Genomic DNA, 27,792 nt, shown 5'->3' on the forward strand with positions numbered 1-27,792 from the left:
AGTTCAGACCCAGGCCTGCTGACTCGGAACTGGTACTGATAACTGTCACCACTGTATGCAATGCTGCAGGCAGGGGCTGGCAGGTAGTAAATGTGCAAGATATAGCTGTGGCTGCCACGGCTGCTGCTGCTGCTTTTGTCGCTGTTGTCAGCTTTTCTTGGCAGCCCTGCTGTCTCATACCCCAGTATTGGGGCTGAAGGATTTCTTTTTACCAAAGCTGCCTCTTAGGACAGAAGTCCTTGTCTTGAATGCATACTGGGAAGTCTTCACTCTGTCAAACTTTTCTGTTCTCTGCCTGGTAATTTCCAGACAGAAGAGAACATTCAAAGAACGAACTTACTTTCCTTCTTTTTTTTTATTGAGACAGTCGTGCTTGATTGCCCAGGCTGGAATGCAATGGCACAATCTCAGCTCACTGCAACCTCCGTTTCCCAGGTGCAACCGATTCTCCTGCCTCAGACCTCTGAAGCAGCTGGGACTACAGGTGCCTGCCACCTCACCCGGCTAATTTTTGTATTTTTAGTAGAGATGGGGTTTCACCACATTGGCCGGGGTGGTCTCAAACTCCTGACCTCAAGTGATCCTCCCATCTCGGCCTCCCAAAGTGCTGGGATTACAGGCATGAGCCACCACACCCGGCCCAATGAGCTTTACTTTTCTACATAAGGAAAATAATGGTAGAAATGAAATAGCTGTGAAACTTGTTTTGCTATTTTTGTACCATGCTAAAATGTTAACTACTGCTTATGTCGGCATACACCTGAGAGCTGCTGTGATTTAAGCCTTTTTATTTTTCTGGGTATGATGTAACTCCTCCCCTACCTCATCCAAGTAGATAAGTTCATGGAGGATAAACATGACAGCTGCTGTTTCTTTTATAGCTGGTTCCAGGGAATATCCACTGAATATAGGAAAGATTGTCAGTTGCTGTGTGCTGCCCTGGTGCTGGTGGAGCTTTCAGCCTTCTTCTCAGAGGAAACAATTTAAATGTTTTTGTGAAACCCTAGAGGTCTGGGGTTTGTAGGACAGTCTTGAGCAGAGCAGGCAAAGGTGAAGGGAGTGGAGCCCAGACGTGCTGCCTGGAGGGAAACCTGTCACCTGGAGAGGAAACGGCACAGGGGAGGCCCAGCCGCCCTCGCCTCTCAGTCCCGCACGTCTCTGTTAGTGGTAGTCATGGTTCTTGTATTTCCATCATGTTGAGGCAATTGAAGGAAATATGAAGATTCATTCATCTCAGGAAAAGCAAGAAATGTATTAACAGCAAGAGTAGAAGTTCACTTGCATGGAAGATACTGTATAGCGTATTTATTTCTTAGCGCCAGTGGGAGTAGCTGCTAAGCCCAAGATTGTGTTGTGAGGTTTGAATAGGTCAATGTGTGAGTCATCAATAAAGTAACATCAATCATTTTGTTCCCGATTAATACGTTTGCTATTTTAGGATGCGAAGGACTTTAAAGAAGCTTATTATTCTGAAAAGCAAAGCCTGGAGATTTCCAGTAGCAAAACAGACACAGTCTGTGGACAATCTCAGTGTACAAATAATTCACCTCTGGCATGAACCCAAAGAATTTCAGAGGGGAAGGAAGCTCTTAAAGATTACGTCCCCTCCTACTTCTTTAATGAGGGCTGGGGTTCAAAAACCGAGTAACTTATCCAGGCTCACATAACTGTAGGTGACAGAGCCCAAGCTGGAGGCTGTGGCTGGGTCTTCAGACTCCTTTCTTGACAGTCTGCACCTGCATAAACTCAGACCTTTACTGAGAACAGTGCAGCCATAGCTGAGAGAAGCAGTCGGCACCCAGCATTTCTTGGACTTGTCTGCCAGGTCCCCCGAGTGCAGAGGACAGTGTGCTGGCTCCTGGGGCCTGTGGGCCCGGCCAGGAGCAGCCTTGTAAGCTAAAGCCTTCTTTGAAGGTGGCCGTCTTACCGTAAACTTTCATGGTAATTTCAGTCTACTCCATAATTTGTCTGAGTTAATTTTGATGGAAACATAGTGTTTTAAGTAATCAGTTAGGCTTTGATCTCTAACTTTATGCCATCCAAATCTTCATGATGGCCTGAGCACCAGGCACCCAGACCTGTGCTCTGAATTGTGCCGGGGCTGGTTCATACAGTGTGATGGAGAGACGAGAGATCCACACTGGAGTTCTGAAGCTGTGGTTCTCAACCCTGTCTTTTTACAAGTTCCTTAACTTCCTTACTAGCCTGAAATGAAATGCATAGGTGAGAAAGTCAACCAGCGCACATAATTTCGAGTCAATATAACATTTCCTTAAAAAATAAAATACAGGTAGTTTATAGTAACATAATAAGAATTTTGATATAGAAATACTCAAGACCAAGTACACCAGCAGTTGAATGCAGTGATGAGACCTGCACACACCTGTGCCTGGCGTCACAGGGAGGCTGACACAGGTGTGTTGCACTGAGACCCACACACCACCCCTCATGTTGCTGTCTATGACGTGACATTCTACAAAGTTGACTAACTCTCAGGAAAGTTCTGAACAAAGCCAAGTATCATCATCTTCCTTCAATTTCCATGTCGATTGCATTCCTGGAATAGTTCATGTATATTTGAACTGTGTAAAACATATTTTGAGTTTATATGTAAGTTGCAATCAGTTTGTAAATCCAAAAATTAAAAATAGTGGTTTTTCTTTTCTTTTTTTTTTTTTTCTTTTTTTTTGAGATGGAATTTCGCTCTGTCGCCCAGGCTGGAGTGCAATGGTGAGATCTCGGCTCACTACAACCTCCGCCTCCCGGGTTCAAGTGATTCTCCTGCCTCAGCCTCCTGAGTAGCTGGGATTATAGGCATGCGCCACCATGCCCGGCTAATTTTGTATTTTTAGTAGAGATGGGATTTCACTATGTTGGTCAGACTGGTCTTGAACTCCTGACCTCAGATGATCCGCCTGCCTCGGCCTCCCAAAGTGCTGGGATTACAGGCGTGAGCCACCGCACCCGGCCAAAACAGTGGTTTTTCTATCTTCCTGAGCAGTCAAGGGAAAAGTTCTTCCCATCGCAGGCGTGTCTGAATGCGGGATGGTTGGCCGACCTGGCCCTGCCCCCCCGCCCCAATACCCTTAGCTTCTTCCCAATCTTTTTGACATCCCAGTCCCCCCAACATTTCCAAAATGCCCTCTAAGTCAACACTTCCGCCACTGCCAGCTGCCACCCCAGAGTGCCCTGTGCCTGGTAACGATCGTTCTCACAGTCATGGCCGTAGGGAAGGCTCTTTGTGGTTCCTGGGGGACTTCGTGAGATTGCCCACATGAGCATTTCTTTTGGAACTGAGATACAGTGCACATCGCCTCTGGGGGACATGGGGTGGTGGGTACACGGAACCGAGGTGAGCCTCCCTTGCGTTGCGGAGGTGCTAGCCTTGTGCCGTCCGTTCTTGTCCACGTCTGTGCAGGAGAACATCACCCGGCCCACTTGGTTGCTGTGAATAGCAAACTTTAGAGGCCACTGCATCTGAGGGTTGGGGGGTTTGCAGAGAAAACAAAAGTTGGTGGCTGTGGCTACTTCCTATAGCAAAGTGGCTCAGGAAAGGGATCCCGTGTCACAGCCTGGGTACACCACGGCCCCTCCAGGAGCTTGATTCCTTCTTAGCTCAGGGGAAGAATCGCACAAGGACCGAGGCCCCTGCTTGTCTGTGAACAAACTGGCCTTTGTGGCCACTTCAGGCTTCGGCTGCATCATATTCCTGTCACATTCACGTGAGTGAACTTGAATTACATCCTTAACACTTTTCCAAAAAGGTTATAAACTAGACTGGTGATGTATCATGGGGCCTAGAAAAATAATGCTGCTGCTTTTTCACTTCTCTGCTTGACGCTAAAACCTGGAGGCGAAAATGAATGTGTGTAATTAATAGGAGAACTTCCTCCTGTTTGCAGAGTGCTTTACAGCTGGCAAACGGCTTCTCTCCCTGAACAGCCCCGTGGGGCGTCATTTCCATCTGACATCTGAGGAGAGCTGCTGTTCATGGTCCAGTCCTCTGTCCATTGGCCCACTGGGTGTCCCTAATATGCGCTAACAGGCTCCTGGCAAACGGCGGGCATGGCAGCCACGAATCTGCACATGAGCTGTATGCCCTGGGTCTCCCCTGGGCTCTGCGGGGGGAGGTGGGAGCCGCCTCTGGTTCACATGCGGTGCTTTCCAGGCTGCAGGGCCTTCTCAGCCTGGGTGGAAGGAGTGACGTCAGAGTATTTCTCAGGAACTGCCTGCCCTAAAGTTGTGGCTCATAAACCCCTTCCAGCTTCTGTGTAGAATTCTGGACCCCTAGGGTATCACCACAGAGTTTAAAAGCAGAGTAAGAACATTTCCTGTGACTGTAGGGTGAGAGGCCCTGGGATCTGTAATTCTACACTAGGCTGGAATCCCAGAAAAGCTTCAATGCTCAGGAAATGTATGAGCAGTGCCAGGATCCCCTGAAGGAGTGTGGGGCTTTTGAAGCAAGCTGCCCAGCGAGCCTCCCGCAGCACCTGCTGTCCCTTTGCCAGCAGTCAGGGCCCCTGCCCCACCAGTGTTGGTTGTGTTTCTGTTCTTTGAGGAGACCACATGATGATCTTCTGGTAGGAGCCACAAGAAGGATACAAATGCCATTAGAGCTGCTAGAGCCCCAGACGTCACTGGAATTGGGGTTCAGGGTGTTGGGCTGTCCCCACCCTTAGGCAGTACTCCCACTGCCTACAACACCTCCAGCGCAGGCTGAGGCCATGCGAGGATGGAAGCACATGTGGGCTAGGCCAGGAGGGCGTGCGGGAGGGCTCTCCACTCTGCGCTCCGCTGGGGTTTCTCCTTGTGTCCTGGTCAATAACTTCTTCTCTCTCTGGTTCTCCTTGGCCTGAGCCCCCAGCCTGAGCCGGGCTGTCCCTGAGTTCCCTGACCCGGAAGAAGGGACGGCCATTATCTTTGGGTGACTGTCTTCTTATAGCTGGGAATCTCTGGGGCTCTGAGCGGGAGGCCCATGGGGAGCCCTGGAAGAACAGGCATGGGTTAGACTGTTTACCTCACTGCCCTGTGTGCCCTGCCCCGGTAGAAGCCGTTTCTGCTGTGTGGTTCTGTCTAGAACTAGAGCCCCTCAGGGCCCTCTGCATGCCGTGGGGTCCCTTTGCAAAGCACCTCCTAACATGTGCTTTTATCTGTGGCTCGGGATGGGGATGGTGACTTCTTCACGCAGTCTTCTGCAGGCCTCTCCAGCCTGGCTCCCGAGATGTCACGCATGGGTCCATGCAGCCCAGAAAAGACCCTGCAGGGGGAGAAGGGTCACTTTGGTGCCTATCTCCCCAGCTGGCCTGTGGGCTGGGTGCCTGGCAGATGGGGCTCCCAGGGAGGTGCCCCCATAGACTTGGGCTCCACAGCAGGCTGTGGGGCTGGCATTAATGTGGCTGGGAGAGCCTGGCTGTCTTTTTAGCCATTTGTTTCGGAGGCCCTGGGGGTCATACTTGTGCTTCCTCGTGTATTTTTAGATCTCTTATCACCGTACACACCACCTCCCTATCAGAGGGCTGTCATATTCACATATGGTAAAATAAGACGCAACAATAGAACTCGAGTCGTGGTTCGGCTTTCTAGGATTAGGACAAGGAGGCAACTTTGATAGTAAATGGAATCTTTTTTTCCCAGCCATCCCCACCCTCAAAGAGTATCTTGCTGTAAGACCTAGTTCCTGTAAAACTCTGTCTGTGGGGTCCCTGGCCAGGATGGGTGGGATCCCAGGGAAAGGGCCAGGCTGTGTGTTCTGAACAGGAATGGTTCTGGACCAACCATTGTGGGCATTCCTGAGAAGCCAGGGAGCCTGGATCTTGTCAGAGGAGCTCCTCCCTCTGCTCCATCCTAACCCCGCGGGCAGCAGCAGGAACTGAGAGAGGACACGGTGGGGGCAGCGCTGCAAAACCCAGCAGCGGGCCACCTTCCAGCAGCAGAAAGCATGAGTTTTGGTTTTGGGGCTCTTCCATTTCCTTCCTTCTTTTCTTTCTTTTTAAATTTTTGCTCTTTGTTATGAAACAGCAGCCAGACCGAGCTATGCATGTCCTGCTGCACGGCAGGGGCCCTTATCTTGAACGACTCCACATACTGGGCAAGGAGGTGGCAGGGGGAGGGGCTTGTGGGAACCCAGATCTGGGATGGGACTCAGCCAACAGTTTAAAGAGCCCTGTGCCCCCACTACCCAGCCTCAACAATTGTTAGCTTATAGCCGTTTACACCCCACCCAGGTTATTTGAAGACAAGTCAGAGGGAGATAATTTCACTGTACTCCTAAATGTTTTAGTATCTCAGCAAAGATTGTATGGGCAGAGAAAGGAGGCTTCAGGGTGTAGGACCCCAGGAGCAGGCAAGGGCTTGCTCTTTCCCTGTTGGCTCCTGTAGGGTGGGGACAGACCAGCCCCCATGAACCCTAGCGAGGGCCATGCCAAGAAGCCGCTGTTCTAATCTAATCAGTGGAGGATCCAGCAAGCTCGGATGGGAGGGAAAGAATGACTCAACCTGCAGGCCGTCTGGGGTATGCACAGTCTCGTCTCCTGAGTTCTCTGAAGCCCTTTGCAGTTTTTGCTTTGTATCCTAAACTCCACAGGCCCGAACCCTGGCACTGAGCTTGATCCGCTGCAGCCCAGCCCGTTCCTGTCCCCATGCTGGAAGCAGCCTGTCAACTCACTTCCTTGGTTTCCTGTTGCTCTTCCCACCCCATACCTGCTCCCCACATTTCTATCAGAGCCCTGTTTCTAAAACAAAAGTCAGATTCCGCTGTGTTCTTAAAACCCTTCAGTGGTTCTGAATTCTTTCAAGACGAGGTTCCAGATACGGAGGCTGAGGGCGAGGGTCTGCACCCCAGGCGTCTGCACTCCTTGTCACCAGCTCCTGGTCGCAGCCACCCCGGCTCTGCTTGTCCTGTTTCAGGGTCCGGCTTAGGGCTCCTGTCCTGCGGATGCCTTCCCCAGCCCCCCGGGGTTGGGTCAAGTTCTCCAGAGCAGCCCCCGCCCCTGCCACACGTTTCTTCCCCCATGTGGTCCTCATCACATGTACATTGTCACCAGGTGCTTTGCCTGTTTCCCTGGAGACTGGGCACCCAAACCACATTTCAGAAATCCCTCCCACTGTCTCAAGCAGTGCTGAGACAGCATGGCACGTTCACAGCACAGTGCATTCCTGTGGCCTCCCCGGGCCACGGTCAGCCCACAGGCTACTCACAGAAAGTGACAGGCCGTGTTCAGAAGCTCTTCAAGCAGTCTGACGTGGCTGTGGCCCGTCATGAGATTTTATATTTTACAAAAGTGTCAGTCGATAAAGGATTTGTCCTGCGCCACCGGAGCACTGGCCTGAGGTGCCCTGATCCCCGAGAACCCCTGCCTGCACAGTCAGCGCTCTCCCCAATGTCTGCCATCTGCCGTGCCCTGTCAGGCTGCTGTGCCATTCTTCGCAGTGTCTCTGGGGAAGAATTTTGTCGAAACTCTGCAGATGTTCTTTTTTTTTTTTTTTTTTCAAGGCAGAGTCTCGCTCTGTTGCCCAGGCTGGAGTGCAGTGGTGCAATCTTGGCTCACCGCAACCTCCACCTCCCAGGTTCACGTAATTCTTCTGCCTCAGCCTCCCGAGTAGCTGGGATTACAGGTGCCCACCACCACGCCCAGCTAATTTTTTGTATTTTTAGTAGAGACAGGGTTTCACCATGTTGGCCAGGCTGGTCTCAATCTCCCGACCTCAGGTGATCCGCCCACCTCAGTCCCCCAAAGTGCTGGGATTACAGGTGTGAACCACCGCGCCTGGCCAACTCTACGGATTTTCTCTCAGGCATCTTAAGCAAGTGGCAAGAGTTATTCTGTGGCTAAGTGTGTAGTTTTGTGTTCGTGAAGATGGTCATGCATAGGTTTTGTGCCAGTTTAAATGCTGGCTCATATATTTGTTGGTGTTGAGTTAGGCAGATTCCAAGAATTGCCTGTAAGCTAAGTTGCCACTTCCGGTATTGCCAGCACTTTGTTTTCCACATATGAGTCATGTGAGGATCGTAAGGGGGGTAGATGTTCTAGAAGGCAGGGGCTGCAAGGATTTGGAATTGTATTCAGTGACAAATGGACTTCTTTCTGAATTCTAATGTAAGGTGGAGATCGCCATAGTTGACCTGTCTTGGAGGTGGGCTTGCGTGTGTCCCCATGAGGAATTGATGCCCTAACATGATTCATCCATGGGGTTCCTTTATCAGCCCAAGCCCATGTGCCTCCCAGCAAAGGTCATTGTTTTTTAGTCTTTAAATGTCATTATCCCCAAGTGAGGGACAGGGTAAACCTGTTAGGCTGAAGGTGGGCCATGATGGGAACCTTTTCCTGGGTGGAGGGCAGACCCCCGAGAGCAGCGGGGTCTGACAGGGCATTGTTTTGGAGGCCTGCAAGTCTGGAGCAGGTGCAATACTGCACGCTCAGGCAGGCGAGCTCTGCAAGGACCTTTGGCCAGACCCGAGCAGAGCTAAGCTGGAATAGGGTGGGGTACTGAGCAGGCAGGCGGGGAAGTGGGTGGGCGTGCAGGTGCCTGGGACCCCCCTCAGCTCACAGAGATACTCGCCCTGTGAGAGCAGGAGTCACCTCAGACCTCCTCTCCTTCTGTTATCTGCTAGTGTGTAATAAATATCCACAATTCAGCGGCTTAGAATAACACACAGTTATGATCTCACAGTTTCTGTGGTCAGGAGTCTGGGCACATTGGCCAAGCGCAGTGGCTCATGCTGGTAATCCCAGCACTTTGGGAGGCTGAGGCAGGTGAGTGGCATGAACCCAGGAGTTCGAGACCAGCCTGGGCAACACGGCAAAACCCTGTCTGTACAAAAAAATACAAAAATTAGCTGGGTGTGGTGGCACCTGCCCTGTAGTGCCAGCTACTTGGGAGGCCGAGGTGGGAGAATCACTTGAACCTGGGAGGCAGAGGTTACAATGAGCTGTGATCACGCCACTGCACTCCAGCCTGGGCGACAGAGGGAGACCCTGTCTCCAAAAAAAAAAAAAGAGCCTGGACTCAGCCTCTCTGGGTCCTGTGCTCAGGTCTCACAAGGCTGCAACCAAGGTGTCGGCCAGTCTGGGGTCTTTCTGGAGTTCAGGCCCCTCTTCTGAGCCACGTGTTTGTTGGAAGAATTCAGTTCCTTGTGGTTGTAGGACTGTGGTCACTGTTCCTGCTGGCGTCAGTCAGCCAGGGGCTGCTCTCAGCTCATCGAGGCCCCCTCCCACTGGGCAGCTTGCTTTCTCAAAGCCAGCAAGGACACTGACTTCTAGACCCTCTTTTAAAGGGCTTGCCTGATTAGGGCAGGCCCATAGGATAATCTGTCTTTTGAGCAAGGCAGTCAACTGACGAAGGATTTTAATTATTTTTTTAATACTTTTTGCCATGTAATACAGCCTAATTACAGTGGTGTCATCCATTATGTCCATGGTCCCACGCACTCAGTGGGAGAGGGGTATGCAGGGCAGGTACACTAGTGGTGGGAGTCTTGGGGACCAACCCAGAATTCCACGTTCCCACACAGTGGGAGAGGGGTATGCAGGGCGTGTACACCAGAGTCTTGGGGACCAACCCAGAATTTGGCCGACTGCAGTTGTCTCTCCCTCTGTTCCCTTCTGGTGGCCCTTCTTTCCCCCAACCCTTTCCTCTTTCTTACATCTCACCCCTCTGCTCCTCTTCTTCTTCTTGCATGGCCTCCCTTCTCTTTTCCCGGCCCCTCCTCTCTGTTCCTCTGCCCCCCAACCCCCAAGCTGGTGGGCTATGGCTGCTATGAAACCTCGTACCTGCTCTGTACTGGCTTAGAAACTGAGCCAATGGCACAGAGCCACCTGCCTTACCAGGAAGGGCTGCACTTGGCGTGGCCTTGGTCACTTTGCTGGCCCATTGGTAGGGCCGTAGGACGTCACTCTAATGCCTTTCCTTCTCTGTCTCCTCCCTCTTTGCTTTTGTGTAGACCCAAGAGTCCTTTCTTTTGTTTGAGACAGGGTCTCACTCTGTCACCCAGGCTGGAGTGCAGTGGCACAATCACAGCTCACTACAGCCTCAACTTCCCAGGCTCCAGTGATCCTCCCACCTCAGCCTCCCAAGTAGCTGGGACCACAGGTGTGTGCTACCACACCTGGCTAGTTTTTGTATTGTTGGTAGACACAGGGTTTTACCATGTTACCCAGGCTGGTCTCGAACTCTTGACCTCAAGAGATCCTACCTGCCACCGCCTTCCAAAGTGCTGGGATTCCAGGCCTGAGCCACCATGCCTAGCCTGGCCCCAAGAGGCCCTTCACACCATGTAATATGGTCTTGGAAATTGAAAATGGCAACAAGGTATCAAAATCCTGATGCAGTTGTGATTTTTGACACCCCTTGATTTGAAAGACATGGGGTGGGTTGATAAAGGAGCCAAGCGAATAGAACAAATTCCTCATGAGGACACAACCAGGCAACCTCAAGACGACAGATCAAGTGTGGCCAGTTTGCAACTTAGATTAAAACTGAGAAAGAAGGTACATTTGTAATATAGTGTAAGTCTAGGATGGGAGAGAGGGACGTCCCTGTCAGGACCACCCCCATGCCAGGAGCTTGCTGGCCACCTCGGAAGTCCCATTTTAATATTATCTAGGAGCCGGTTGTGGTGGTGCAAACCTGTAGTCCCAGCTACTCAGGAGGCTGAGGCAGGAGGGTTGCTAGAGCTCAGGAGTTCCTGGCTGCAGTGAGCTGTGATCACACCTGTGAATACACACACACACTGCACTTCAGCCTGGGCAACAGAACAAGACCTCATCCCCAAAGGAAAAAGAAAAAAAAAAAAAAGGAAGAAAAAAAGGAAAAGATTATGTAAGACGTCTGAAAACTGTTTATAGAACCATTGTTGGAAGGATTACAGACGTATTCTCAAAAAACACTTCAGTAGAAAGAGGGTGGGGTTTGTTTGATACCAGAAAACCTGCACTCAGTAACACTTATGCCATCGAGCTTACGGGGCTGTGGTATCACATGAAGCAGTGAATACGCATGCAGTTTTTAAAATGACTTGTAAGTTGTTTGTAGAAACAGTTCAGATGCCAGGCTCGATAGCATCATGTCCATTCCTGCTCAAGCATTTGAAACGTTCTCACGGAGCAGAATGTGGCAGAACAGCTACAAGCTGAAAAATACTTATATGGAGGCTGATTTTTTTAGTGCAAGGAAGGACTCCAACAGCTAGAACCGTTCTGCTATGATCTTCATTGTGTTGGGAAAAGGTGGACTCCCAGCACGGCTGTGTTTTAAGGGGAAGCTGAGGGTGCGTGTGTGCTGAGAAGTGACTGGACAGCAGTTCGCTGGGATTACAGTCCCAGCTCCACGCCAGCCAGCCCTATGGCCTCAGATGGGTCTGGCAGCCTCTCCAGGCCTTCACTTTCTGCTCTGTAAAGCGAGGGGTTGAACTGGAAACCTGGAGTAGCATCCAGCTGTTAACACTCTGCTCCATGCATCTGTCAGAGCTCCAGAAGGAGGCTGACTGCCCAGCCCTGCCACCTACAGGCTGTGTGACCTTAGGCAAGTTACTTACCCTCTCTGTGCCTTCGTTCCCTCATATTTAAACTGGGGATGGTAACAGTCTCGGCCTAATGAGGCTGTTGCAAGGAATACATGGCATCATATCCATAAAGCTCTTAGAATATTCCTGCCTAGCATGTGGTAAGGACTTGATAAATGGTAGCAGTTCTTATAACTATTTCTATTGCTCCTGACCACCCTTTTACTCTATGAATCTGGAATTTATTGCTGTATATCTGTTAAACTCTGAACAAGATTTTCTTTCCGCATCATCACTGCTGACCCTGTACTGGGAAGGTGCCCGCTGCTCTGTCCTCTAATAAGATGCCCTGTCCGTTTCAGGCGGAAGCCCGGCTCGCTGCAAAACGGGCGGCCCGCGCGGAGGCTCGCGAGATCCGCATGAAGGAGCTGGAGCGGCAGCAGAAGGAGGTAACGCTTGGGGCTCCTTGTTGGGTCTTTTCACAGTGATTTGCGTGCTGGGCCCAGGGTGCAAGTGCAGGCACCTGTTGCTGCAGACGCACCTGGCTGTCTCACGTTGCTCACGGTCAGAGTGCGTTTGCGCCTGTGACTTCTGCCCAAGGTCAGGCCAGGAGTGCGCATAGCACGGATACCAGGCGTGCCTGCTCAGACCTGCTGGCTCCTGAGAGGGGCTTAGAAGCCTCTTGCCTGCGCAGATCGTCGTTTCTAGCTGCGAGGAGCCAAAATGTTCAGGGTCTGAGCTTTAAGGTCTAACTGTTGTACTAGAATCTAGATCCTCTGGATTAAAGTGGAAAAGAAGAACGGATTAATGAGTTTTTAAACTGGCCAAATTGTTTTATTTAAAAATATGTCCCCCGTGGTTTGTACAGTGTTGATCACACACGGGCTCCAGGTTTCAGGATATCTAGAGCCCGTGTGTGATAGAGAGACGGGAATGAACACATGGATGAAACAGCCAGGAAGAAATTCCTCCCTGGGAAAATGGCTAGCAATGTGTTGACACACCTGCTCAAGCCATTTGCAAGTTATTTTCATCATCTTGAGCTGGAGCTAGGAGTCATTTCTGACAGCATAAGGGTTCTTTAACTCACAGTTATGGTGTGACTTTTTCTGTGACCTCAGAGACATAGAAGCTGAGACCCCCACTCAGTCCATGTTCTCCCGTGGGCCATGCCCTGTGGGGCCAAGGGACCATCCACACTGAGCCCACCCCCAAGAGCTTTTCTTCTTAAGAAGATGTGAATTTATTTTGTTAGACAGAAGTAACCAGCTGCCTTCCCCAGGGTTGATTTTAATACACAGGTTGTTGTTTGGCTTACATAGCCAAATTTAAAAAGGCGAGCCAGTGTTTAAAACCAGTGAGATTTCGGATAAAAATCTGAATTTCCAGATTCTCTTATGGTGGTTGTAGATTCCGCCACATTCCCAGCAAAGACCAAGCTGGCCACATACCCTGCAGGGTCAGGGCCCTGCCACAGGTCTAATGTGCTCATTGCCCTCCGCTGCTAGGAGTTTGCCGCTCCATGTAGAAACCTGCATGCAGAGGCTAGGCAGTGTCACCAAGCCCTGGAACCATCCTGCACACTCAAGCTCTGGTATCCATAGTGGTGCCAGAGGCCACTAGAAGGAATAGTGCTTTTATTCTGAACTGGTTTTTAAATATGTATATGTATAATTTTTTTTTTTTTTTGAGATCAAGTCTTGCTCTATCGCCCAGGCTGGAGTACAGTGACATGATCTCTACTCACTGCAACCTCCACCTCCCAGATTCAAGCGATTATCATGCCTCAGCCTCCCAAGTAGCTGGGATTATAGGTGCGCACCACCATGCCTGGCTAATTTTTGTATTTTTAATAGAGACGGGGTTTCACCATGTTGGCCAGACTGGTCTGAAACTCCTGATCTCAAGTGATCCTCCCGCCTTGACCTCCTGGCCTCCCAAAGTGCTAGGATTACAGGCATCAGCCACCACACCTGGCTTAAATATATGTATTTTAAATGACAAAATCTCAGGTGCTTTTTCACACTGCCCAGTATCAGTGTCTCTGTAGAATGTGTCTGTTCATACAGACACATTTAGATAAAAACGTATTGATTGTATCCTTTTTTTTTTCTTTTTTTGAGACAGAATCTTGCTTTGTCGCCCAGGCTGGAGTGCAGTGGCATGATCTTGGCTCACTGCAACCTCCCTCTCCTGGGTTCAAGCGATTCTCCTGCCTCAGCCTCCTGAGTAGCTGGGACTACAGGTACCCGCCACCATGCCCGGCTAATTTTTTTGTCATTTTTAGTAGAGATGGGGTTTCACCGTGTTAGCCAGGATGGTCTCCAACTCCTGACCTCGGGTGATTCCCCCGTTTCAGCCTCCCAAAGTGTTGGGACTACAGGTGTTAGCCATCACACCGGCCCCATATTAGAATTGATTTAAATATATACATATTGATATAAGATATAACCAATTAGAATTGATTTAAACATATACATATTGATATAAGCAGCTTGTTACAAAGTTGTTGGGCAAAAGTTCTTGATTTAAAAATAACTAAGATGAATTAAGGCAAGCAGTCATCGATTTGAATGGCCCCCTTTAAAAGCAAAGCATCCCTTTATTCCTTTGATTGAAAGGAAGCCCTTTTCTGTTGCATTTTAATTGTGCAGTTTAAGAACCATCTGTTGCTGGACTCCCACGTCTCTGTTGTAATATTCCCAGCCACACGAAAAGAAAAATAAAAAATAAGCCAGGCGTGGTGGCATGCACCTGTAGTCCCAGCTACTCAGGACACTGAGGCAGGAGCATTGCTTGAGCCCAGGAGCCTGAAGCAATGATCGGGCCATGATTGTCCCTGTGTGTAGCCACTGCACTCCAGCTGGGGCAACATAATGAGACCCCTATCTCTTTCAAAAAGTAAAAAAATAAAAAGTAGTTGCTACTCCAGATGGGAAACCAAGTCTTGGGCATTTAATTTTAGTATCATGAAAAAGGGGTGCAGGGCAGCCCTCACTGATGCTTCTGATGAGCACAGGCCTTGCGGAGAACATCTGATGAAATCGGGAAGTCTCACGTAAAACGCCATGGTTTGCCTTCTTCAGCATGAGTACAGATGTCATTTGCTTAGTAGATGGCATTCACATTTTGAAATTCTTCTCCCTACAGCATGGTTTTATCATAAAGATATTTCAGGGGTCACAGGGGTCAAGATATCTCGCCCTGTTGCAAATTCGGCGGAACATCCGCCACTGAGAGCGGTGGTTTTGGTCTGTGCTCTCACCAGCAGGGACCGGAGGAGGGGGTGGTGTCCCTTGCAGGCAGCACCTTTGGCCAACGTCACCTTTTGCACGGTCCTCTGTGGATCTGCAGTCTCGGCTTCCTCATCACCGATGCCTGCACTTCTTCCCTCACGACCGTGGCTTGCGGCTGTGACACAGGGCGGGCGTCGTGGGCGCGGCTGTGGACTCCTGCCTGGGGTTGGTCACGGACCAGGAGCCAGAGCCACCCAAATTTACCAGGTTGTGGAATGAGAGCCTGGGAAGGTGGGGGACATGTCAGGAGGGGCAGAGAAATGAACGTGGCCAAGATGGTGAGTGAGGACACCGAGTGAAGCAGCTCTACCGGGGGGTGGGGAAGCCACTCCTTGTGGCAGCAGAGGATGGACATGGCAGACAGGAAGCTGCCCTGGGAGACGAGAGCCAGACGAGGAAGGGCCAGCCCAGTCAGCCCAGCGCAGCACGCGTTCCTAACGGCGGCAACGGTGCCTTCATGAATTTCGGGTCTTTGCAAGGCGGCAGCATTCCTGTTTAAAGTTTATGTCTGCTTCTTCAAAAGAGGGATCGAAAGATCTTAAATAAGATAGATGTGTATTTCGTGACTAGTCAGAGAAGCCTGGGGCGGGGGGACATCCCAGAGCTCCTGCCGTGTGGCAGAGCTGGGCTTGGTGCTGTCACCTACCACTGGTGACGGGCATCTTCCCAAACTTTACAGGTGAGGAAAACAGGCCTTAGGGAGATACACAGTTTTCCCCAAATCCAAGAAAATAGCCAAGCCAAGATTCAAATCAGATTTGACCAGATACAAAGCCTGTGGTCTTCCTAGCTCACCCCTCTGTCTCAAAATCAGTTCTGTACCAACAATAAAAACAAGAGTGGAGGAGGGAGTGAATCCGTGGGCCATGGGGTTGAAGTTCACATTGAGGACGCTGGCACGCACAGCAAAGGGGGAAACAGAATGATCCACATAATCCTAGTCACTTTCCAAGTGGAAGCATGCCTTGAAAAATAAAGTTCTCCTTGGTGTGGAATTTGAGGCACAGGAATATGAAACATAAAATATACAATTTTCTTAGAATTTTCTATAAATACAGAATGAGTAGCTTTCACCTAGCTGTGCTTTTATGTGACCCAAAGGGTGGGGCAGAGGCCAGGAGGAATGTACTCGTGTGTGCGCACGCATTCGTGTGTGTGCGTGTGCATGTGTGTGTGCATGTGTGTGCATGTGCGCTCACACACGTGAGCATCTGTGTATGCATCCAGAGGGAAGAGTGAGTCGAGCTAGTGGGGTCTGAGCTTGCACGTCTTCGGGCCATGCCTGGAGGATTTGGGAAGGTGCACTGACGACACCTCCCTCACGCTCTTCTTTGCATATCACATCTCTGGGCCTGGCTATTATTAGAACCAGCTAACATAATTTGAGGTTATACAATCTGGTAGCTTGGGGCACTGGCATTTTAAGTTGTTGATTAAGGGGAAATGAATACGTTTTGGAAGACCAGTGTTTAAAGGGTAGGGTTGATACTTTGGTGTAAAAATTGAGAAACCTGATCCCTGTTTTCATCGGGGTCACAAGCCATCCCACCTGCATGCAGGCGTTTCTGAGCAGGCTCAGGGTTTTCTTGAGGGGGCCGCTCTGAGAACACCGAGAAGGGCAGGAAGCTGACCGGGGTTGGTATCCCCCAAGGAAAGCATGGAGCGTGTACGGAGAGGGGAGGTGGCGAGGAGACACCAGTGTCGGGGGCAGCCCTGTCCCCACAGCATTATCAGACTCCAGGCCAGCTCTAGCCCACCCTGAGCTCTCTTTCTTGAATGGTTCTTTTCAGCACACAGACGGCGAGAACCCACTACAGCTTACTCTAGCTGCGTTCCGGGGTCTGTTTAAAAGGATATGAGCTCTTTTTTAATGGATTTGTTAGGGGAGAATAATGTACATATTCTTGGGAAATTCAAGTGAACCTTGAACTTCTTAGGGAGAACCTACACTGATAGAAGAAAATGGTGATCATTTCTCTTTTCTTGCTGCTGACTTGATAAACATTTTGGTTAGAGATGCTTTGTTTCTTACAGTCATATTGTTGGATGTAGTCACATGTGTTCCCCCATATAAGACTAGAAATGCCAACTTCTTGGTCTCGCAGTTTTGGCAGTGCCTTCAATAATGCCTGATATGACAAATGTCTTAATGAATGAATGAATGAATGAATGAAAATGAGTAGCTATCTCAGTTTTATCTAGTGATTACTACAAAATTAAAAGAAACCTCTGAAGCAAACGAATATGTCAATGTATGATAATAACCTCTTTTAGGAATATTTCTGTTATATTCTAATGATCACTCCATTTAGCTGGAATTTTCCTGTTATTCTGTGTGTGTCTGTGTGAATCAGAACATCAAAGCCTCTTTCTTCATTATTTGTGAATTTGACCAGTTAACTTTCCAATTAAGTTTCTGTACTTTTTGATTAAACTTTTATTACCGCAAAAAGAAATTCTGAATTAAAGATGAAGGAAGTACTTTTTCTCATTGATGGCAATAGGTTATACAGACTTCTGTATTAGAATAATAGCAGTATTTTTGGTAAGATTCGTGTGGCTATGCCCCTATTTCCCCAATGTATCTAAAATGAAATGTAAAGTAAGTGATAAAATTACAAACTCTTGTCAGTGGGACCTCACCTGTTTTCTTATTCACATTTTACTGTATTCGTTGTGACTTGATTCATATGTCTAGTTACTTACAGAACCTTTCATTCTGATGTTACTGCTTCTTTAATTGGATTTTACATTTCTTTTTTCTTCTGTCCTTCTCTATAGATCTATCAGGTCCAAAAGGTAGGCTCTTCTTTCTTTATTTTCTAACTTGCATGTACTGTTTTTTCCTTGCCAAGGGCCTGGTCACCTTTCAGAAATAACACCTTGCACTGAAGATACATAGAAGTTCTTACTGTTTATTTTACTACTTTGTGTATGAATTTGTTTGAACAAGAATGCCTAGATCCTCATCTTGCCCCACTCAAAGCAACAGTCAGACACATTTCTGTGTACTGAATGCTTTTGTCATCTGCATTTTCCTCAAGAAATGTAAAAATTGTTTCTTTGAGAAGAAAAGTAATTCTAAGGCAAAATTATATTTCAGAATGTGGATAGCCTTCTGAAATTATGTATGGAAAGAAAAAGATGATTTTATTAGAAAACTTAAAAAATTCCATACAAATTACCACACATTGAGAGATTATTAGATATTGAGTTAAAAATCTGAGTAAAAGGACAGTGATGATATAAAATGAACCTGCCATTCATCCCTAATGCTCAGAGATCATAAAATGACGTGCCTCTCTGTTTCCTAGTATTTTGTAGAAGCAGCTGAGGTTTAGAAGTAAATACACTGGGCAGGCCAGATACAGAAAATAAAGACAAGCAAGTCAGTGATTCAAGATCTAGCAAAAATGAAGTCAGAAGTGAGCGAGTTCCTTGAGAATTTATAGAATTTGTATACACGGGAGTCTTTCCCATAAATGAATTTAGTTTGATACTTAAAACATCTGTGATAGTTTCCTTTTATAAATTTAGTTTCTAGACAACAACTGTATTTTTCTCTTAGAGCAGATGAGAAAATCAGAATAAGATCACTTAATTTCGGAGGTTAGAGCACACAGGCCTCGGAATGCACGGGCAGTAAATTTAAGAGCCTGTTGTGTTGGATTCCTGTGCTGGCCATGATGACGAATCGCCTTCCCTGCTGGAGCCCTGCACTCTGCATAGCTGCTGTCCCGAAGAGTGCAAAGAAATTTGTTAAGTAGATGCCAGAATCTCTTGTGCTTGACTAGTGTTTCCAGGGCCCAAGTGTAGAAATGGATATTGCAGCTGGAGTTCCTGGTCGTCCTCAGAGAGCCTCGGGAAGAACTGGACAGGTGCAAGGCCAGGCGGGGAGCCCTCCCTGTAACTGACAGCAGGACGCTCTCATCCAAAACCTGGAAGAGGGGCTCTATCTGGTCGTTTCCACTTGCATTCATGCCTTTCTTGTGCTAGGTCACATTATTTTCTTTTTACTAACGTGCCAGGGATACATTGTGAGAACTTTGTCAGAATGTGAATTTGTGTAGAATGTGAAGCTAGAAGGAGCCCCGGAAACCTGCAGTGGAGGAGCAGAGGCACAGTTTTGTAGTAAAGGTGTGCCCAGGGAAGGGAAGGCTTTCCTCATTGCTGAGATGTCTGGGGAGGAGAGGAGGCGGCGATTGCGCCTCCGGCCCAGCCAGCTGCTTTGCGGAACAGTTTCTCTGGAATCAAAGCTATTTCTGAAAGTAGCGCGGCTCCTGCTTCCCTCCGCATGGCTTCCGGATCATGGTAGTGATTGACGTTTGAAATGTTTGCCCTTCCTGGACTTTGCTGTGCTAGTGCTGCTGGCTAACCCAGGAACTACTAGTTAATTGCACTTGCTGTTACTAGGGGCGTTCTCTCCCCAGGAATGACATGGAAATGCAGTTACAGTAGCCACTTATAAGACCACCCATGAACGAGGTGAAAGATTTTCAGAACTGGTCCTTTGTCATGAAAAGAGCAAGTTAGAGTGTGCAGATATAATGGGCAAAAAGAAATCTATGAAAACAGAAAAACTGACAGTACAGATTCTTTTGGAATTTAAATAATTTTATTGTGAATTTATATAGCCCCCATCCTTCTAAAAACATATTTTGCTTCCCTCTTTCTAGTTAAGCCAAAAAATAAGGGAGGAGTGATGGCATCATATTTTACTTGTGAAAAATCTGGAACTTGGCAGGTGCTAACATTAATTGAATGCAAAATAGCTTTAAGCTGATGCATTTCCCTGACATTGAAGTTAAAACATGACTTTGGGATGTTTGTTTTTATTTCCTTTCTGAATTTATATTCCAAGGGAATAACCTACAGAAAAAGATATGGCTCATGTCCTTTTTGTCTTTTTTGTCCTTTTTGTACTCATGTCCTTTTTGTATTATTGAATTTTTAAAAGTATTGTTAAATTCTCCCTCCTAATTTCTGCTCTTCCAATTTTCTACTTACTGTCACCTCTAAGAGAAAGAGATAAGACCGTCTGAAAACTGCTTATTTTTAAATCTGGCCGCCCTTCGAAATGAAACAAAACCAAACATAGCAACAGCATGTTTTTGGTTATTGTAAAACAATTTCAAAAATGGTCTTGTATTTCTAGCACCTGATTTTTTCTCTTGATTATAAGATTTTAATGTATGAAGAGAAAACTCACATCTGTGTTATAATGATACGGAAGTTTGCTTAGTTGTTTCTTGATTTTCTTACTGGAAATTAAATAAAAAGGAGAGAAGCAAAACCCCATTATTTGGGCCCATGACCTGGCTTCCCACCTACCTTTGGGATTCCCTGATTGAGTGGCAGCAGTAGCCGTTCTGAATCTGCTTTTCTCATTTTAACTTGGACCACTGAACAGGATAAAAACATGGAAGTATAAGCTAAAGCAAGCTTGTCCAACCTGCGGGCCACATGCAGCCCAGAATGGCTATGAATGCAGCTGAACACAAATCGTAAACTCTTTTAAAACATTATGAAATTTTTTTTGCAATTTTTTTTTTTTAGCTTATCAGCTATCGTTAGTGTAGTTTATGTGTGGCCCAAGACACTTCTTCCAGTGTGGTCCAAGGAAGCCAAAAGATTGGACACCCCTGAGCTAATGTCACCTCCAGACATACATAACTTGTGGGTCTGCATATTTTTCTTCTGTACAAAGACCTCTTCTGTAGGTGGCAGTCATCTCTCCATCCCTGCTACAAAGACAGCAAAGTCTATGAATTCTCACAGGCCTAGACTCAGCATAGACATCAGGCAGCTAGAACAAGCGTCAGCACGCAGTTTCTCCCCTTCTCCTCTCAGTTTCCCTGAGGTCCCAACACCGGAATGGCTCTGAGCTTCTGCTTCTCTTCGATGGTGTTTTATTCCTTCATCGCGTTTGCTTTGAAGGCATGAGCAGCCTGTTGGAGGGGGCGTGAAGGCTGCTGGGCCGGCTTTACTGTCCTGCTCTCCCCCGAGGCCCTTCACCTGGGGAAGCTTCGTCCTGGGCTCTCTTGCTTTGCCGGGATGGGGTGGGCTGGGAGGATCTCTCTTCACAGCTCACAGCCTGCATGACTGCACGGGTGGCGGTCCCTGTGGAGAAGCCAGGCCTGGTGCCGACTGCTTTGCCTTGGCGTGTTACCTTCACCACACGGCTGGATGGCGGTTTGGAAATGCATGTCAGAACAGTGCCTTAGACAACTGCCTTTTTAAGAAATTTCACTTCTTGCCTAATTTTCTTTCCCTTCTGTCTATAGAAATATTATGGGCTGGATACAAAATGGGGTGACATCGAGCAGTGGATGGTAGGCCTTGAATATAATTTTGTTTTTACTCTTCCCTCCCCACTTGAATACAGTGTTGAGACTTAAATGGTTTATAATGTAATTCTTACGCAGTTTAACTATGTAGATAGATTCCTATTGCACCATAATTTAATACTGAGAGATTTTCTTCCGGGGATTTCTGCATCTGGTCTCTGTTTACATCCCCAAACGCAGCCTGCTTAGAAACAGTCCTGGTCTTGCCTGTTTGGTAGCCACTGACTGCTGATGTCTCCTGGCCAGCAGTTTGGGGAGGTCTCCACTACCACAGCCGCCCTGATCTCCTCGAGCACAGGGCTCTCCACCAGGACTCGGGCTGGGCATGCGCCCCTGGCTTGAGAACTTTCCAGAGAACATTCCCATTGGCTTCGCAGCTCACCAGGCTGTGGTTGGAACCTGAGAGGTACATTATGCTCCATTTCCTTCACTCATGATTACGACCAGCTGCCCCATCGCCCTCATTTAGACTTTATCTGCATTTGCTGTTGGGTTCTCTCTTCATCTTGTCCGCTGTGCCTGCCGAAACCACTGGTCTTTGGTAAGAAAACTCCTTTACCTTCTCCACCTGCTTCCTAGAACAGCCCCTCTGCCTTCCTGTGGATGGAGAGCTAGCCTGCCCCTGATGATACTCCTGTCCTTCTGGCTTTCTCAGGAAGCAGCGGCACCCACATAGGGAGGCTGCGGAAGGGGCACAATCTGTGTGCTTTCCACTGGTCCCGAGAGAGAGTGGCCTGGCCCTTCTCGTTAGTTCCTCTACCCGAGTCCTTCTACCTCTTCCTGTCCCTTTTGCTTTATTGCCTGGCCTCGTGGACTTCATCACATGCTTTTAGCATTTGAGAACCTGGCCAGGATGGAAATGTCCTATTAAATGTTCCTTATACATAAAATGATCTGAGGAAAATCCAAAATTATTTCCTAACATCTTACGTACTGGGTATAAAAGAGGTTCGCTCTTCAGATATACAGAGCACACACTTACTGTATTGAAAATATGATTACATTCAGCCTAGGCAAACCATCATTTTAGGCTTACATGACATAAATGTATTTTTGTTAAATCTTAAGACATTTCTGTCCACAGGCATGGTGATATAAGAAAGAGAAAAAAAGAAAAGAAATATTTAAAAAATCTTTACACATTCTTTGAAGTTGTATCATTGTTTTATATACCACTGAGAAAGAAAAAATGCTAATTATAACTGAGCAACTTGGATTATAAGATACATCCCCAGCTTCAGAGATGTCCAAGTGTGAAAAACCGTGTGTGTCTTAGAATCCACAATACATAGTAGAAAGAGTGACATCCTTTTCGGATATTGTGTGGAAATGATTTATCTTCTGATTCCCGAAGAGAGTGAGGTTCTGAAAGTAAGGGGAAAAGTAGATTGATTTAAATGGATCAGATGATAGAGGTTAGAAAAAAATTAAGACCCAGCTTCTGCCCCAAACACTGTTTTTACAACAAAAATGAAGTATGCAAATTATTTTTGTGCTTAAGAACCTCCCACCCCAGAAAAAAACATTTTTACCCACTGGTTTAATTAAAGCCTTTAAATGAAGGCAAAGAAAATATTTATGTGACATTTAGATCAGAACTGCTGTATTATGGTGCAGTGGGACTACCTAAGCTTTTTTAAAGCACTTTTCCTGTGTCCATCTGTCTCTAACCTTTTCATGCTGTTTCTTCATTGTTAGGAAGACAGTGAGCGCTACTCTCGTAGATCCAGAAGAAACACATCGGTTAGTACCGTGTTCATTCATTACTTGGGCAATTTGATTGAATTCTAATTTATGCTTGCAGTGGCTGAAGTATATATAATATATTCAATCTCTTAATGATGATATCATCTCTTAAAGAAATTAACTAATACTATTAATGATAGAATACTGATATTATTACCTAAATAAAGACTATGAACTTAGCTTTTAGCATTTTGACCTAAATTTGATAAGGAGAGTGTGTTTGAGAAATTTTTCAGTATTAATATATTCATGACAGCTGTAGTGCTTTTTGTGCCATTGAATACCCATAAATAATCTGCATAGTAATATACACCAATGCTGTGTATTTATATTACCCGTGAGATAAAGAATACTACTTGGATGAAATTACTTTTTTTTTTTTTTTTTTTTTTTTTGAGACAGAGTCTCGCTTTGTCACCCAGGCTAGAATGCAGTGGTGCGGTTTTGGCTCACTGCAACCTCCACCTCCCAGGTTCAACAATTCTCGTGTCTCAGCCTCCCAAGTAGCTGGGACTACAGGCGCCTGCCGCCACACCTGACTAATTTTTGTATTTTTGGTAGAGACGGAGTTTCCCTATGTTGCCCAATCCGGTCTCGAACTCCTGGGCTCAAGTGATCTGCCCACCTCGGCCTCCCAAAGTGCTGGGATTACAGGCATGAGCCACCGTGCCTGGCCCTGAAATTACTTTTTTTTTGAGATGGTGTCTTGCTCTATTGCCCAGGCTGGAGTGTAGTGGTGCAGTCTTGGCTCACTGCAATGTCTGCCTCGTGGGTCCAAGTGATTCTCATGCCTCAGCCTCCTGAGTACCTGGGATTACAGGCACGTGCCATGACACCCGGCTAATTTTTGTATTTTTTGTAGAGACAGAGTGTTTCGCCTTGTTGGCCAGGCTGGTCTCAAACTCCTGACCTCAAGTGATCTGCCTGCCTCGGCCTCCCAAAATGCTGGGATTACAGGCATGACACCACACCTGGCCCTGAAATTACTTTAAATCCATATTGCCCATAAGCAGACAGAGATCCACAAAGCCCATGCTGTGGAGGACCTAGACTGGTGTCCCCTGAGATGTCCAGGGGTGGCTGGCCCCCTCACTGCTGTGGGTTGGGGTCAGTTCCCAGCATCCCCCTGAAACTTGGGCACTGGTTCTTCATGTATGTTGTATGATTCCTTCACGGTTGTTCTCGTCCTTTCTTTTAATAGGCTTCTGATGAAGACGAGCGCATGTCAGTGGGTAGTCGTGGAAGCCTGAGGGTCAGTAACCAGAATGATGGAGTTTGCATGGCACAGTTTCTGGTCCAAGCCCTTTACTTTCTCATCCCCGCATTCTGATTTCTTCTTCATTATCCCCGTGGTCTGATAGTCAATATTTAACCGATGAGATGCTTACTTAAAATCAAATCAATGGGGGATGTTTCTTTGTTGCTGTAGAGAGATGATTTATATGCATAGGCACGTTGGTTGTTTCTTTCTCCCGAGATGAAGTCATCTTTTTTTCAATACTTATCCACATCACAAAGCTCCCAAGCCTTGATTAGCACAGTTGTCTCAGCACATTGGTGTTCCACAGGAATGCAAAGGCGCGTCTGCCCTTTAGTAAGTCTGTATCCACTGACACCCATGCTCCTGGTAAAATCGGAACCTCTATTAAAGTAGCTGTAAGTTAATTATTATTGAGCAATGTTTTGGCATAGCCACTATAGACTGCCTGCTGAAAACCTGGACCAGGACTGGATCCGTAAGGTCTGCCTTCAGCCGCTTTTCCTTGTATCAGTTATAATTAGATCTCTTTACCACTGATAGGCTTAATGGTTAATCAACACAAATATGGACTTTTCCTTAAACATTCCAGAAACCTTAATAATTATACTTGAAAAAAGTGTGAGTTTGGGGGGAAGTAAAATAGAAAAACTATGTTTTGCTCAGTGCTTTAAATCAGTGAATTAACCTGAGCATGTCAGTTTCTTTTACTGCAGGATTGAAATTACATCTCACCGCTAGTAATAAATAAATCTCAAAGCAGCCACTCGCTTTATTAATCCTTAGGGACCACATAGAGCTGAAGGCTTGTTTCTCTTCACTGTGGCAATTAAATCCTATTACTCCTTGACTTCTTATACATGCACTGAGTGTGCATGTAATTTGGCCCTTCCCAATGATAAAATGCAGAGGTGAAACACGGTTGCTGTGCTGTGAAGCCACTCTGTCCTTGTCAGTGTCCTTGCAGTGCCAAAAGCAGATCCGTAGTGATTTTGCCAAAAAACTGTGGTTCAAATGTGAGGCCCCGTGAGGGCTTCCTTGCTGTTTGAAACCTTCTCCTGAGATGTAGCCTCAGGGATGCTGTTGTAACCGTTACCTCGGGACCGTCTGACCCCACTCACCCCAGAAGAGGGAAGATTTATGGATCCAAAATAGAATAAATGCAAAGCTCAATTGACAAAGTCTGTAGACAAGGCCCAGACATCACAGCTGTTGAGCAGGCCCAGGAGAAGCTTGAGTCCTTGAAACCAGTGAAGAAAATGCTGTTTCAGGGATGAGGGGGAGCGACCGAGAGAGGAGGAAACTCAGACTTAGCGGTATAGAGGATGTCAGTCACTTTGGCAGGAGAACTTTTAACGGAAATATTGAGGGCAAAACCTGGTTAATATGGGTTCAAGAGAGAATAGGAGGAGAGAGGCACAGAATCCCAAACTGTCTCTCTCAAAATGCATCATTTTCAGAGCCACACCCTCCTGAAATTGTAGGCACAATTTCAGATGTAAGATGTGTGCACTTACATTTTCCTGGGAAAAGAATGTTCAGTTTCTTCAGATTCTCAGAGGGTCTCCTGACCCTGAAGAGTTGAAAACCATTGCAATATGAACGAGTATTACGGTGTTATGTAACAGCATTCATTTCATTTTCAATGATTTTTAACCAGAAATAAGTTGCATCTTTCTGCTGGACACCACTCTTTGCCGAGATATCAAGTATATTTGTTTTAAGAGCTGAAATTTCCTATAGGATGTTCACCATTAGGACAGTACATAAGATGGGGAGGAAGTGGATGGGATTTTCATTTTCAGCCACATGACACTTTCCCATCAGGTACTTGATCTGAAGAAATATATTCCTCAGAACTTAAGAACTTGGATCCTGGAGATGAGAGTCAAACCTCCTAATGTTTATAGGCACCAAACAAGCCCAGAGTGGTGAAGAGGCCTGCGTGGGGTCACAGTTCTTAGGAACAAGGCCAGTGCCTGCTGCTCAGGGCCCTGGTGGGCTGTGTGTCCTCCGTGCGCTGGGTTCCCTGGGCTCTATGCTTGCCCCTTTGTACCACCGAACAGGGCACTCCCCAGAGTGAGGACTGGCATCTCGCTCTATTTCTATGCGGGGCCAGTTTCTACTGTTTTTATGTATTTTAATATTATGAACTTTTTACATTTTTGATTGTAAGATCGTATCTTTTATTTATTGACTCTGAAAACACAGGCCTTCTTCATTTAGCTAGAAAAAATGATAAACCCTAAAAAAGGTGGGGAGGTGATTTATACTACTCTGGAATTTGTATGGATGCCTCCTCAGAAAGTCTAGATTTTGGATTTTCTAGAATTTCTCGAGTTTAGATTTTCTGGAAAATCTAGATTTTTAATTTTCCTTTTTGAAAATTGATGACAGTGCATCTGTTAACCTTTGCCCTTTTGTAACTAAAATGGATTATGTAGAAGAGGAAATAAGATTTATCAAACTGTTTCAGACTTTGTGAATTATAGCAGCCTTTGCCATGGAAGTTTATTGAATGCTACTGGATTCTGTGGTAGCTACCATTCTGACATAATTCTTTTTGTAAATACATATTAGATCCTAGAAATTATGGAAAAATGCATTTTTGTTAAGATTTTAAAGATTGCTTGTATTTATGTTTTACTTAGCTTTTAAATTTACTTTTGGCAACTCTCTTTGCTGTTGTTTTTTTTTTCTGCCATCTTTCTTCTGACAGTCGCAGCCTGACTTGGAGTATGGGGGTCCTTACGCCTGGGTGAGATGGTCGGATATACTTTGCTGTGTGACCTTAACTGTGTGGTGTGACCATAATAACCTGTGGTATTTCCACGAATCTCATGGGTGCTTTGTCTCCAGTTTTTGCCTGGGGGGCTATGAGGCCAGGAGGGCAGGCTTACCCTGCAGAGTGAGCAGTCTTCCTCCTGGGGCCTCCAGGGTGCAGCCCTGATCCTGCCGGAGGGGAGGAGCCCAGGCATCTGTGCATGAACACTCCCTCACCAGATGGCCTTTGAGCACCAGCTGTTTGCCACGCCTTGTGTTAGCAGCTGTGCATACCAAGATGAAAAAGATAGTGTCTGCCTTCAAGGAACTCAAATCAGATCAAGAATTCCCAAGGCCTCTACATTTGCTTTAAAAGATTAAATGTAAAGCCATTTTACCTAATGAAAAATCCATTATTTTCCAGTCTATATCCATTCAAATTAAATGTACAATCTGACTTTTTTTTTTTTTTTTGCCAGAAAGTATTCTTTGAGAAAACTCCTAACTTCCAGTAACAAAAACTAAGGCTTTAGACATAAACTCAGAATTACTTCTTATATGTCTCTGACAGTTTCTGTGCCTTATGCTTTCTAAAAGTCTGTCAGTGTTATACTTCAAGGAAGAAAAAGTTCTCAGAAAGCACAGCTCAGCATTAAAGTGATTCGATACTGAAGTTATTGTAGCATATTATGTACTATTTCACCTGAAGGACTTTACCTAAAAGCAGTTTGTGCTTCATTTGCTCCAGTGCATTTCAAAATTATTTAGTAAATTCTTGTTTTAAAAATGTATTTTTGTGTTTGCAATTATAGTGAATCAATAGTAGCATACATCTGCATAGCATATTTGGTGCCCTGAGCCTCCTGTGGGACGGCTGTTCTG

At 46.7% G+C, this 27,792-nt stretch overlaps 1 protein-coding gene across 50 annotated transcripts in view, besides 9 other annotated features; it reads left to right on the forward strand.

Annotated features, from left to right (window-relative positions):
• LRRFIP1 (LRR binding FLII interacting protein 1) overlaps window positions 1–27,792 on the forward strand; it is a 154,057-nt gene that overhangs the window by 69,095 nt on the left and 57,170 nt on the right. For 15 of the 50 annotated variants that reach the window (XM_017005260.3, XM_017005262.3, XM_047446294.1 and 12 more), the window contains exons 2-6: window positions 11,863–11,949; window positions 17,578–17,595; window positions 21,081–21,128; window positions 22,842–22,886; window positions 24,091–24,141. In XM_017005260.3, coding sequence (XP_016860749.1) covers window positions 11,863–11,949; window positions 17,578–17,595; window positions 21,081–21,128; window positions 22,842–22,886; window positions 24,091–24,141 — 249 coding nt within the window. Of the gene's footprint in view, window positions 1–11,862; window positions 11,950–17,577; window positions 17,596–21,080; window positions 21,129–22,841; window positions 22,887–24,090; window positions 24,142–26,866; window positions 26,906–27,792 lie in introns of all 50 variants that reach the window. The other 35 variants (XM_047446310.1, XM_047446318.1, XM_047446301.1 and 32 more) reach the window with 3 other exon arrangements.
• Window positions 403–612: an enhancer, noted in NCBI's record as "active region_17372". NCBI's record gives its function as "activates an Ori minimal core promoter by ATAC-STARR-seq in GM12878 lymphoblastoid cells {active_cell/tissue: GM12878}" and the evidence as "EXISTENCE:reporter gene assay evidence [ECO:0000049][PMID:35858748]".
• Window positions 1,676–1,725: a silencer, noted in NCBI's record as "silent region_12481". NCBI's record gives its function as "represses an Ori minimal core promoter by ATAC-STARR-seq in GM12878 lymphoblastoid cells {active_cell/tissue: GM12878}" and the evidence as "EXISTENCE:reporter gene assay evidence [ECO:0000049][PMID:35858748]".
• Window positions 3,719–3,768: an enhancer, noted in NCBI's record as "active region_17373". NCBI's record gives its function as "activates an Ori minimal core promoter by ATAC-STARR-seq in GM12878 lymphoblastoid cells {active_cell/tissue: GM12878}" and the evidence as "EXISTENCE:reporter gene assay evidence [ECO:0000049][PMID:35858748]".
• Window positions 3,779–3,828: an enhancer, noted in NCBI's record as "active region_17374". NCBI's record gives its function as "activates an Ori minimal core promoter by ATAC-STARR-seq in GM12878 lymphoblastoid cells {active_cell/tissue: GM12878}" and the evidence as "EXISTENCE:reporter gene assay evidence [ECO:0000049][PMID:35858748]".
• Window positions 6,131–7,011: an enhancer, noted in NCBI's record as "H3K27ac-H3K4me1 hESC enhancer chr2:238611455-238612335 (GRCh37/hg19 assembly coordinates)". NCBI's record gives its function as "activates a minimal SCP1, AML or CMV promoter by ChIP-STARR-seq in naive H9 embryonic stem cells {active_cell/tissue: H9 hESC(naive)}" and the evidence as "EXISTENCE:reporter gene assay evidence [ECO:0000049][PMID:30033119]".
• Window positions 7,012–7,891: an enhancer, noted in NCBI's record as "H3K27ac-H3K4me1 hESC enhancer chr2:238612336-238613215 (GRCh37/hg19 assembly coordinates)". NCBI's record gives its function as "activates a minimal SCP1, AML or CMV promoter by ChIP-STARR-seq in naive H9 embryonic stem cells {active_cell/tissue: H9 hESC(naive)}" and the evidence as "EXISTENCE:reporter gene assay evidence [ECO:0000049][PMID:30033119]".
• Window positions 20,855–21,371: an enhancer, noted in NCBI's record as "H3K4me1 hESC enhancer chr2:238626179-238626695 (GRCh37/hg19 assembly coordinates)". NCBI's record gives its function as "activates a minimal SCP1, AML or CMV promoter by ChIP-STARR-seq in naive H9 embryonic stem cells {active_cell/tissue: H9 hESC(naive)}" and the evidence as "EXISTENCE:reporter gene assay evidence [ECO:0000049][PMID:30033119]".
• Window positions 25,643–26,144: an enhancer, noted in NCBI's record as "H3K4me1 hESC enhancer chr2:238630967-238631468 (GRCh37/hg19 assembly coordinates)". NCBI's record gives its function as "activates a minimal SCP1, AML or CMV promoter by ChIP-STARR-seq in naive H9 embryonic stem cells {active_cell/tissue: H9 hESC(naive)}" and the evidence as "EXISTENCE:reporter gene assay evidence [ECO:0000049][PMID:30033119]".
• Window positions 26,145–26,644: an enhancer, noted in NCBI's record as "H3K4me1 hESC enhancer chr2:238631469-238631968 (GRCh37/hg19 assembly coordinates)". NCBI's record gives its function as "activates a minimal SCP1, AML or CMV promoter by ChIP-STARR-seq in naive H9 embryonic stem cells {active_cell/tissue: H9 hESC(naive)}" and the evidence as "EXISTENCE:reporter gene assay evidence [ECO:0000049][PMID:30033119]".

The sequence above is a fragment of the Homo sapiens genome, chromosome 2 (genome assembly GCF_000001405.40).
Source record: "Homo sapiens chromosome 2, GRCh38.p14 Primary Assembly".
In the NCBI taxonomy this organism is placed as follows: Eukaryota; Metazoa; Chordata; class Mammalia; order Primates; family Hominidae; genus Homo; species Homo sapiens.